Source organism: Homo sapiens, chromosome 13 (assembly GCF_000001405.40).
Source record: "Homo sapiens chromosome 13, GRCh38.p14 Primary Assembly".
Lineage (NCBI taxonomy): Eukaryota > Metazoa > Chordata > Mammalia > Primates > Hominidae > Homo > Homo sapiens.
The window spans coordinates 33,654,241-33,666,876 of NC_000013.11; the positions used below are offsets into that span (position 1 = coordinate 33,654,241).

At 41.2% G+C, this 12,636-nt stretch overlaps 1 protein-coding gene across 2 annotated transcripts in view; it reads right to left on the bottom strand.

Annotated features, from left to right (window-relative positions):
• Positions 1-12,636, bottom strand: part of STARD13 (StAR related lipid transfer domain containing 13) — a 573,658-nt gene that overhangs the window by 551,104 nt on the left and 9,918 nt on the right. The window contains exons 2-3 of one of the 2 annotated variants that reach the window (NM_001243476.3): positions 9,650-9,897; positions 7,037-7,103 (exon numbers count right to left, since the gene is read on the bottom strand). The exons of the other annotated variant lie outside the window; for it this stretch is intronic. The gene's annotated coding sequence lies outside the window, so the exon portion shown is untranslated. The remainder of the gene's footprint in view (positions 1-7,036; positions 7,104-9,649; positions 9,898-12,636) is intronic. 2 annotated transcript variants of the gene reach the window in all.

The window sequence follows — 12,636 nt, forward strand, 5'->3', positions numbered from 1 at the left end:
CATCATCTGATGAATTGACAAATAGAATTAAAGTATTACTCAACCATAAAAAAGCATAAAGTACTGATACATGCTACTACATGGATGAAACTTGAAAATATTATGCTATGTGAAGAAGCGAAACACAAAAGGGTACATACTGTATGATTTCATTGATATGAAATGTGCAAAATAGGCAAATCTATAGAGACAGAAAGTAGATTAGTGGTTGCCAGAGCCTGGGGAAGGGGAGAATGGGGGCTGACTGCTAATGGGGGCAGGCATCTTCTTGGGGATAATGAAAATGCTCTGGAATTTGTTAGTGGTGGTGATTTAACAATGTTGGGAATATACTGAAACTACTGAATTGTACACTTTAAAAGAGTGAATTTTATAGAATGTGAATCACATCTCAAAAACTCAAATAGAGTAAGATAAAAAGTGTTAAAATATAATCTATTGAAAAGTAAAACAGGTACATTTCTGCAAACTCTTCTGCCATGGTGCAGAAGCTGTTAGGTTAGTTCCTGATTTTACCTTGGTTAGTCAGACATGGAAAGTCTTGGAAATACTTCTGTCTGATTTTCTCACAGCACTGGGTCTTCTGTAGCTGACTGAATAGAAGGAGACTTTGATAGAAAGAATAATACTCCAGCCTCAGACTTAGCTGCTTCTTGTCTTGTCTCTCCAGTGCCTGGCCCTGTGGCCATTGACAAGCCGCACCTCATGGTGTGACTTATTTCTCTCTTTTGAGTTTTTTCAGTCTGCTAGTCCCGTCCCTCACCCCTGGAGGTGTGTTAAGAACTAGATACACAAAATAACTGCATGGCATTTTACAAATCTGAATGCTTTAGAAATACAAGCTAAGAATCCTTCTTTGTTTTAATTGACTTTAATGGGACGAGCAGACCTAATCCCTAATGTCTTTCTAAATTCAGAAGTAATTATTAGTGAGAGGTTAACTCTAATGTAGATGTTACTCTTTAGTGGATGGGCATAAACAACAATAATAAACTTTTCTTTTGAATTGCATGGACTAAAATTCTGGCTAAACATTATGCAACTGAAATGAGAGCTGAGACAATGAATAGTTCCTTCAGAGGAAAAATATAATTATTGGCAAGAATTGATGGTATTTTTCTATGACCAGTTCCAATACATCAATCCAGGAGGCCAATATACTAGTCATAATTTAATGAGAGGCAAGTCCATAATAAACGGTGACTTTGTGGATCATGGTGATGCTCTCAAATTAATGCATACTTAGTTTTAGTCTCTCCCCTCCCAGTCCATTCCAGTCCTAATCTCTCCAGGTATGAGTGATCACTCCCTCATTTAATTCCCTTTGTATATATTTTTATTGGACCGGAGACACTTTATGTCACCTATTTATGATAATTTTTGTTCCTTAGTACTAGATGTAAGCCCTTTGGAAAACAGAGGCTGTGTCTTTTCCATCTTTGACTCCCAAGAATTCTATATAGTAACTGGAACATAGTAGATATTTAATAAATGCATCGATGAATGAATTCACAAATGCAAATTGTTGGCAAAGTTTTATATGAGCACAGGATAGCAACAGCTAGAAGGAGGTTCTGGAATTGGTTCCCAGAACTGCTGCTGTCGTTGCAGGTTTGAAATCCTCAGGGAAATACTGCAGCTGACCCCAGAGAAACTTGCAAGAACATGCTTGAAAATGGGAAACATATTAGAAGCAGAGGTTCTTAGTGGCAAAGAATTTAAGTAAGCTAACAATGCCACCACTCTGGTCCACACCAGCCATGAGCCTTTGCACCTACTCTCCTCCCCACCTTTCTACTTAAGTGGGCAACTTCTCTCCTACTCCTTATCCCACTTTCTGGCTTCATTTTTCTCCACAGCAATTATCACTATGTATTCTAATGATTTTTTAAAATTTATTATTACCTGTCTCCCCTCCTACCTCAACAGAATCTAAACTCTGATTTGATATAGTCTGGTTTCTCTGTTCTATACCCCGTGCTAGAAATAGTCATTGGACATAGTAGCTTCTCAATAAATATTTATGGATGGAAGAAAGGGAAAAGCGATAGAAGGGAGGGAAAGAGAAGACGGAATGGAAGAAGAATGAAAGGAAAGAAAGGGAAGATCAATCTAAGAAATATCTAAAAGTCTTGAAAGCTTTCTACGATGTTTAATATATTCAGGTAAGCTTCTGTTTCACAGATTTTTTTGTTTGCCTTAAAAATATTGTAAAAAATTGAAAATCTGGACACTTCTCATAAAAAATTAGGTTATGAGTTTCTCCCAATAAGTCTGGTTAAACTAGGTCTAGCTCTCGTTCCTCATTGGTCATGTAGACATTAATGGCAGCTTTAGTAGGGACATGGGCCAGAGTCACCTAATTTGCCGGAGAATCTTAAACCAGGAATGGAAATTGGGATCATTCCTGGATTTTCTGAGAATCTTGTTATGGATATGTAGCACAGGAAGTCCTCAGAATAATTTAGATTCCTATGGAAATTCATATTCCCAAGGGGTGAACTTCTAATGCGAAGAGAATACTCAGATCCTTAAATCTGTTCATCTAAACCAGAGATCCCTGGAACTTACCTGCAAGGGACAACTGTGGCTAGACAAACTCTTTCCTGATCCGGCTGCCCCAGGTACTGTCAGTAGAGCACCCTGAATCCTGCAGTTCTCTAGAGGATCTTGAGCTTACAGATGGTAGGACATGTCCACCACTGGAGTGATAGAATCACAAAGCATGTTCTTAAAATAGAATTCTAGGCTGAGCGCGGTGGCTCACGCCTCTAATCCCAGCACTTTGGGAGGCCGAGGCGGGTGGATCACGAGATCAAGAGATCGAGACAATCCTGGCTAACACAGTGAAACCCCATCTCTACTAAAAAATACAAAAAATTAGCTGGGCGTGGTGGCGGGCGCCTATAGTCCCAGCTACTCGGGAGGCTGAGGCAGGAGAATGGTGTGAACCCGGGAGGCAGAGCTTGCAATGAGCAGAGATTGTGCCACTGCACTCCAGCCTGGGAGACAGTGAGACTCCGTCTCAAACAAACAAACAAAGAAAAAAAACAAAAATAGGATTCCACCGTTTGTCCCCCAATACCTGATTCATTCAAAAAATACTTGTTGAGCATCTAGTAAGTGCCAGGCCCTGTGCTGGGCACTGTATGTTCAGTATTGAAGGAGTCAACATGATCCCTGTCGTTACAGACCTTACAGAATCATCAGGGAACACTGGAAGCACAGGAGGTATTACAGGCAGCAGAGGACTTAGTCTGGTCTCTGAAACTGCAGATTTAAAGTTCAAAGTGTAGAAAATATGCAAATATACTAAGCTTTTCCTGAACTTAGGGACATGTTTGGGATGAATTATAGAGAAACGGATGTAGTTCTTTAACTTATTCTTATAACATAGGTATATAAACTTCCTTTAGTGTCATTAACATCCTTCGAAATGTTTAGATGTAACTGTCCAAAGGCAGTCTTGCCTCCTCTCTTTGTAAGTCAGTGAGTAGTTGTGCTCACTCTTCTACATAAACCCAATCAATGTGAAGGCTTTTTTCAACCTATGCATTCATACTACCACTTACACTAGTAAATCTACTATTACTTCTGATGATTATGGGTGTTTTTCTATAAAGTAGATTTTCTATTTTATGGTGTATAGTGTATTTTTTGACTGTGGCAAAATATACATTACATAAAATACATGATTTTAACTATTTTTAAGTGTACAGTTTAGTGGCATTAAATACATTTGCATTGTTGTGCAACCATCACCATCAGCCATCTCCAGAACTTTTTCATGATCCCAAACTGTACTCATTAAATAATACTTCCCCATGCCCCTTCCTCCAGTCCCTGGTAACCACCATACTACTTCCTGTCTCTCTGAATTGGATGACTCTAGGTACCTCGTTTAAATGAAATCCTACAATTTTGGTCCTATTGTGTCTGGCTTATTTCACTTAGCGTAATGTCCTCGAGGTTCATCCATGTTGTAGCATTTGTCAGAATTTTCTTCCTCTTGAAGGCTGAAGAGCAGTCCGTTGTATGTACATACCGCATTTTGTTTATCCATTCATCCATTGATAGACACTTGAGTTGCTTCCACATTTTTGCTATTGCGCATAATGCTGCCATGAACATGGGTGAGTACAAATATGATTGTTTTGTTTATGTGGTGTTTTTAACTTTGCAAAATGTTTTTGTTGCTATAATATCATAACCCCTCTGAGATAGATTAGTTAGTATTTTCCTCTTCTGGTAAATAAGAAATCCAAATTTTAAAAAGTTAAATCACTTGTCAATTTAGGGACAGTTTCTGACTCTTAGTCTGGAGTATCTTTTTCTCAACATACCTTTCACTTTTCATCCCAATGGTCCTTCACCAGCTGAAGATACCAGAGACTGTGATATTGCAAAATATATATTTGGTCTTCGTCCTCCTTTCCTGGAAACAACTACTAAAATTCTTAGAATCTTCAAAGTGATGTCTTTTAGTATGCTAAGACCGTGGCTAGCAGCTCCCAGGTAGTTTCAGGATGGGAGCTGGTCACCAGAAAGACTAAGGCATGATTAGAGAGAGAGTTGGGACTTTCACTTCCACTCCCCAATCTCTGGGAAGAGGAGAGGTGCTAGAGGTTAACTTGGTCACCAATGGGCAGTGATTTAATCAATCATACCTACATAATGAAGCTGTCATTACAACGCACAGGGGACAGGGTTTGGAGAGCCTCCTGATAGCTGAACATGTGGAGGTTCCTGGAGGGTGGCAAGCCCAGGAAGCACATGGAAGCTCTTTGCCCCCTTCCTCATATCCCTATGCATCTGTTCATCTGCATCCTTTTGTAATATCCTTTGTAATAAACTGGTAAATGCATTTCCCTGAGTTCTGTGACCCACCGTAGCAAATTAATGTAACACGAAAAGGTGGGTATGTGAACTCCAATTTATAGCCTGTTGGTCAGAAGCACAGGTCACAACCTGGGTTTTTTCTTTTTTTTTTTTTTTTATGAAGTCTTGCTCTGTTGCCCAGGCTGGAGTGCAGTGGTGCCATCTCGTCTCACTGCAACCTCTGCCTCCCGGGTTCAAGCAACTCTCCTGCCTCAGCCTCCTGAGTAGCTGCGACTACAGGCATATGCCACCACACTCAGCTAATTTTTGTGTTTTTAGTAGAGATGGGGTTTCATCATGTTGGCCAGGATGGTCTCAATCTCCTGACCTCGTGATCCACCCGCCTTGGCCTCCCAGAGTGCTGGGATTACAGGTGTGAGCCACTGCTCCCAGCCAACCTGTGGCTTTTGATTGGCATTAGAAGTCGGAGCAGTTGTGGGACTGAGCCCTGAACCTATGGGACCTAACACTCTCTCCAGGCAGATAGCACCAGAACTGAATTGAGTTGGAAGACACCCAGCTGGTGTCTGCTACAGAAATGCTTGCTCGCTTGCTTGCTTGGTGCGTGGGGAAAACCCATGCTAAATGAAGTCAGTAGGCTCATATTTTGGGGGAAACCTATGTTTTAAAATTTATCTTTCAGGCATCAGTTGCAGCTGTTTTTTCTCCAAGAAAATGACATCCTGAGCTAAGCCAGACTGTCTCTCGCTTACCCCTCAACTGTGCCATTTATGAGAAAATTCAAACTTTGTCTAATGCTACAAGCTGGGAAACTATGTCTACAACCAAAATAAAGGATTTAAATCTTGATTACTCATGGGCTTAAATCATACCTGATATGGTTTTACATGCTATTCTTTGATAACAATCTTCATTAAATTGCAGAGATGCCAATGCCATGTTTGAATAGAGAGTTTGAAAAGTTGAGAGGTCCTCAGAGGAACATTGAGGGAGGAGAGAAGAGGCCAGGTAGGCAGGTGTGGCCAGGCCAGCTACGCTCTGCTCACGAGGGCCTTCCCAACAATACTCCAGCACAAGCAGAACCATGGTTTTTATTTTTACTGATTTGTACTTGTGGGGGTTTTCTTAGCTGAATTCATGTTTTTTTATGTCAATGACAGTAAGTGAGATTCTGTTTTTCTGAAATAGTGCTATTATCTGTGTTAGTTGTCATAGTTTTTCACTATTTAAAAAGATATTTCCATCAGTTAGAACTTCTCTAAATTTTAACATTTCTCCAATTGTTAAAAATCTCTCTAATTACAATAATTCCACATCAGTAGGAAAGTTGCCAAATCTTACATTTTGTCTGACTTGTTTGCCTTTGGCCTTCCCTTGCTGGTACTGATCAGGTGCAGACCATTGGTGAAGTACAGTTGTTTCCTTTGATAGTAACATTTGGGGGTGGTTCTCTCTGTACTGTCAGGGAGGTAGGACACTAAGTAACTACTTGATTTGTACTGTGGGTTTGTTTGTTTTTCAAGAGACAAGATTTTCCTCTGTTGCCCAGGCTGGAGTGAAGTGGTGCAATTATAACTCACTGCAGACTTGAACTCCTGGGCTCAAGTCATCCTCCCACCTCAGCCTCCTGAGTAGCTGGAAATAGAGGTGAGAGCCACCATGTCTGGCTACATTCTTTATTTTCTGTAGAGACAAAGTCTCACTATGTTGCACAGGCTGGTCTTGAACTCCTAGCCTCGAATGATCCTCCTGCCTTGGCCTTCCAACGTGCTGGGATTCTAGATGTGAACCACTGTGCCTGGCCTGTGCTGTTAGATTCCTAATGGTTTCACTTTCTTGGTAGGGTTGCCAAAATAGCAAAGAAAAACATAGGACATACATGTAAAGTTAAATTTCAGATAAACAGCAAATAAATTTTTATAAATAGATTCCATGTGACATTTGGAACATACTTATACTGAAATATTATTTGTTATTTACCTGGAAATTCACATTTAATAGGGTGGCTTGTATTATATCTGGCAACACTATTCCTTAGATTTCTTCCATGAACATTACTCAAAGAATAGGATCTCATAGTGTTATCAACAAATGCCACTTATCATGATAGGGGCTGAACTTGGTGATATGGAGTGACCTAAACTGGAGGATAAATTGTAATGTCAAGGATACAGGACAAGAGATAATGAGGACTTGCCTTTCACTGCGGTTCTCCTTTGGAAGCAGAAGCAGACTTCGGTAGTTTACCGTCCCAGGTGGTTAACCTGAAATGCAGGATTTGTGAGACCAGCCAAGGGAAGAGGAAGTAAGAAGGCACGTCCAGATCTGACACATACTCAATTTTGTTAGTCCTAAAAACTGTAGTGTGTGTAGGTACTCTACTGGTGTATGAGTCCGTTCTCACACTTCTATAAAGAGCTGCCCGAAACTGGGTAATTAAGAAAAGAGGTTTAACTGACTCACAGTTCCGCATGGCCGGGGAGGCCTCAGGAAATTTACAGTCATGGCAGAAGGCACTTCTTCACAGGGTGGCAAGAGAGAGAATGAGTGCCAGCAGGGGAAATGCCATGCGCTTATAAAACCATCAGATCTCGTGAGAACTCACTAATTATCAAGAGAACAGCATGGGAGAAACCGCCCCCATGATTGAATTACCTCCACCTGGTCCTGCCCTTAACACATGGGGATTGTTACAATTCAAGGTGAGATTTGGGTGGGGACACAGAGCCAACCCATATCAACTGGGGAGTGTACATATATGTGTATCTACGTATGGGAGGGCAAGGGATAAGGAGGGGAAGAATCAGGAATATGATCTCCTGGCAAAAAAAAAAAAAATTATGATTATATTCTAATATACATATAGGTTCACAAATATGTCATCATTAAAGTAATTATTTTGGCTGGTCGCGGTGGCTCATGCCTGTAATCCCAGCACTCTGGGAGGCCGAGGTGGGCGGATCACGAGGTCAGGAGATCGAGACCATCCTGGCTAACACGGTGAAACCCCGTCTCTACTAAAAATACAAAAAATTAGCTGGGCGTGGTGGTGGGCGCCTATAATCCCAGCTACTCGGGAAGCTGAGGCAGGAGAATGGCGTGAACCCCGGAGGCGGAGCTTGCAGTGAGCCGAGATCATGCCACTGTACTACAGCCTGGGCGACAGAGCAAGACCCCGTCTCAAAAAAAAAAAAAAAGTTATTTATTTCTTGCCCAACCACCAAACTATCTGTCTGGGTTTCCCAATCAGTTTAGAGTTATTACATTTCTCTTAATTTGATTGTATATAGACACTTTACAGGTTGTATAAAAATGAAGTAAAAATTTGCTTTGTTTTGAAAATGTTGTAATGGAAAGGCCACCGGAATGGATATGTTACCACTCCTTTCCCAAACAGCCTTGTTGGAGGCCCAAGTGAAGTGTGCACCTGGTCAAGGTGCAAGTTACATCTGATTTTGTCTGTGACTCTCCACAAATCAAACCCTGCACTTTAACTTCACGTTCTGCCGTTTTCAGGCCATGGTCACAAGCCAATCCAGTTCTATTGGAAACAAACCTCCCCCTCTTTATCAGACTGCAGACAACAAAGACAAATCTGTGGGAGCAGGGAGTATACCATGCACTATACCCCCTCTCTATTTGCTGTGAGATTAAAGATCACACAAGGTTAAAACGAATTTTTAAAGCTGACACCCATTAATTTGAAAACAGCTACAACCCTATTGGTCAAATGCATAAGGAGACATAAAATTTTCCCAAGGAGGAAATATAAAAAGCTAATGAATACGCTCTCCCTAAAAAAATTTGGTTTCCATAGCAGTAAACAATAATGCAAGTTAAAATAAGACACTGTTTTCTTTATAAACTTAGCAAAGTCTTGAGAATATATCAAATTCAGTGTTGGTGAGAGTGAGGTGAGGTATTTATTCCTATTCACTGCTAACAGTAGTTTGAATTGATGCAACCTTTCTAGAAAATAATTTTCTAATATCAAACAATATTACTTTCTTTTTTTTGGAGATAGGGTCTCATTCTGTCACCCAGACTGGAGCGTAGTGTGCAGTGGTAAGAACATGGCTCATTGCAGCCTCAACCTCCTGGGCTCAATTGATCCTCCTACCTTGGCCTCCCAAAGAGCTGGGATTACAGGCATGAGCCACCATGCCTGGCCAACGATATTCTTTCAATGATAAAAATCTTAAAACTGTTTTAAAATTTAAAGATACTTAAAAGATCCAAAAATATTATGGACAAAAATTATTATGGACAAAAAATAATGATATCAGCATTTTGAAAAATAAAAATACTGTAAGAAAATGAAATGCTTAGCTGCTAGGGTATAGTTTATTCATTTTGTACGTGAAAAAAGTTGAAATAGTAATAGTATGCAATCAACAAAAACAATGTTTATGATGAATTTTAAAAATATAAGGAAACGCCTTTGTCATATATTTAGCTAATAAGAGTAGTGCAAATTATATTTAGTTTGGGATCAATTATGTTAAAATAGTAGGAAAAGAATTACAAAGACATACAAAATGTTAACAGAGGTTATCTAATAAGGGAGTATGACTATAAGGGAATTTTACTTGTGTTTTACTGTTTTCTACATTGCCCAAGTGTTCTACGACAGTCAGAAAAAAATAGACACTGAGTGGTCAAGTGGACAGCAGAGCAGGAGGGAGCAAGTCAGAAAGGCTCTCTCAGATCGGGTTAGGACACTCTCAGAGTTTAGAGCTTCTCCAACAGGAAAACAAGAAACCCCGGGTTCCAAATGCCTCTTAATGAGTTCAGCTTCCGCCTTACTTGCCTGAACCTGATGCTGTGGCACCGTTCCTCCGACTCTTTCCGTAATGACCAGTTCTGCCCTCATCACTCTGAAGAGAGACTGGCAACTTCCAACGGGAAGGGAAGCATCCAAATGCTTCCTCTGCAGGCAGGGAGGAACGCAAGCTGGGTTGTACTAACAGGAGTGCTTTGTCTTAGTCCCATCAGAGATAAAACAGGATTTTCCTAGATCCAAGTAACCACGAATCCTTTCCAGTTGCCACTCAGGATCTGAGGGGGAAAACGTAGGGATGCTGAAGAGACACTCATTTCTCAACTTCACATTTCCACTCCATTCAGCGAACCTGCTCGGGGAGGCTCTTTTCACTCTTCCCATTTCCTTTTTTGTGGTCCACTATCACATACAACACTACGCTAAATAGGGTTTAGTAGCAGACACACTTATTTTGTTTTTACAATTGTTGTTGAGTTTTTGGTGTCACAGCTTGACAGAATACATCGGCAGCAGGGGTTCCGCATCAATAGTACTTCTCACTTGAGGGTTTTCTCTCTGAAAACTTACAGAACTGTGTTGTCTTTGGACTTGGTGAAAACACCTTTTAATGCATTCACAGTTTGCTGCATGTGATGAAACTTAGCAATGCTCTTTCTCACCTTGAAGAAATCGATTTCACTCTTGGCTTCATGTCTTGTTCTTGTTGAAATTGACACAAGTCAGTTGCCTGCTTTGAACTTCAGTTACCGAACTTAAAAAAACTATTGACTCTTTTATTTATTGAGATGGAGTCTCGGTCTGTTATCCAGGCTGGAGTGCAGTAGCCCAATTTCAGCTCACTGCAACCTCCGCCTCCCAGGTTCCTGCCATTCTCCTGCCTCAGCCTCCGGAGTAGCGGGGACTACAGGCCCCCGCCACCACGCCCGGCTAATTTTTTGTATTTTTAGTAGAGACGAGGTTTCACCACGTTAGCCACTATGGTCTCGATCCCCTGACCTCATGATCCGCCCGCCTCGGCCTCCCAAAGTGTTGGGATTACAGGCGTGAGCCACTACGCCCGGCCAAAAACTACTTACTCTTTTACTTACCTTACTCATCCTGACGGAAAAGATAAAATAAGATCCTGTGTGAGAAATGTTTTGTAAACTGTGTTGCAAACGTCACAATGACGAGAACGAAGGAGGGACAGAGGAAGTGGAGACCCTGTTACTGTGGCGAGCATTTCAGGGTCAGGGGCCTGTCAAGGAAGCATCCAACAACAGAATCCAGATTGCTCAAAGGTAAAGTCCTGCTTCTTATTTAAGGGAAGTTCTTGATCATGTTTTACCTAATGCTCCCTTGTTGAGTGGTGACTGAACTGGAGAAAACCTGAATCCCTTGACGTTTTATGCAATTTATGCAATAAATTTTCAAAGGAGTGCCTCTGTGGCATTTTTCATATTCTGAAGAAGTATTTAATTAAAAAAAATCCAAATAAACTTTTGACCAGATGCAACAAGACATGCAAGAAGCTATCGAGTTGAAGATAGAACATAAGAAAAAACAATACACAGATATTTAATCTTGTTATGGTCAAGAATTAATGGCTACTCTTGTACCTTTAATTAAGAAATAAGACCATTTAAGTTATCTCTCGATGAGCAGTTAAATGACAGCAATATTTTCTTTCACCAGCTCCCTTCTCCTGCCAGTTGCTTTGTGCTGGTTAATTTTGATGGAAAGACAATGCCTAATAGGATTATTTCAGACAATGGAGGAATTACTATCAAGGATAATTTTTTCTCTTATAGGAGAACGTGCATCTTTATTTTGACTTTCCTATTTTTCTTCCAATAATGAGGTGAACTAATGCTGTTTAATCAACTGAAAGCTTTCTGGCTTTCAGAGGCAGCCATTCGGAAAAGGCTGATGTTAAATGAGAGAAGAGGGAAACATTAAGCTAGAAATAAAATGGACTCCAAGCTCTGACTCTCTCCTGGGGTCTCCTCGGTGCCATAACTTTTGATTAATGAGAGTCTCAAGGGGGAAGATCCTAAGTCAATGTCACTCAGCTGGCTCAGTGTAAATTCTTGGGCTGCACGTGTCAGTAGAATCCATGCTTGACCACAGGGACCTGGAATGAACCAAGGCACAAAAAGACCTCTGACTTGTCCCTGAAGAAAGAGAAGCTGCTGCTAACATGAGACTAGGCCATGTGGTAATGTCTACACATTCCTTTGACCCCAGCCTTCTTACAGAATCTCTGGGAATGCTATGGCATGCTTCCTAATCTCTAAATGGAGGAAAATTTCTAGATCACTTCCATGGATCTCAGGAGAAATAGCCAAAGTTTCTCTGAATTCATTTTGCATTGTTGTTTTAATGTTACTAATACATTGATTAGAACTTATCATATAAAATTACATTCATAGGCTGGAAATAATTTTTTTTGTTGTTTTTGGTTTTTTTTGAGAGAGAGTCTCGCTCTGTCCCCTAGGCTGGAGTGCGGTGGCACGATCTCGGCTCACTGCAAGCTCCACCTCCCAGGTTCACGCCGTTCTCCTGCCTCAGCCTCCCAAGTAGCTGGGACTGCAGGCACATGCCACCATGCCCGGCTAATTTTTTTTGTATTTTTAGTAGAGATGGGATTTCACTGTGTTAGCCAGGATGGTCTCGATCTCCTGACTTCGTGATCTGCCCGCCTCAGCCTCCCAAAGTGCTGGGATCACAGGCGTGAGCCACTGCACCCAGCCTATTTATTTTTTAAGACAGAGTCACGCTCTGTCACCCAGGCTGTTGGGTGCAGTGGCGCGATCTCGACTCACTGCAACCTCTGCTTTCCCGGTTCAAGCAATTTTACTGCCTCAGCCTCCCAAGTAGCTGGGATTACAGGCTCCCACCACCACACCCGGCTAATTTTTTGTATTTTTAGTAGAGACAGGGTTTCACCATGTTGGCCAGGCTGGTCTCGAACCCCTGACCTCATGTGATCCACCTTCCTCAGCTTCCCAAAGTGCTGGGATTACAGGCGGGAG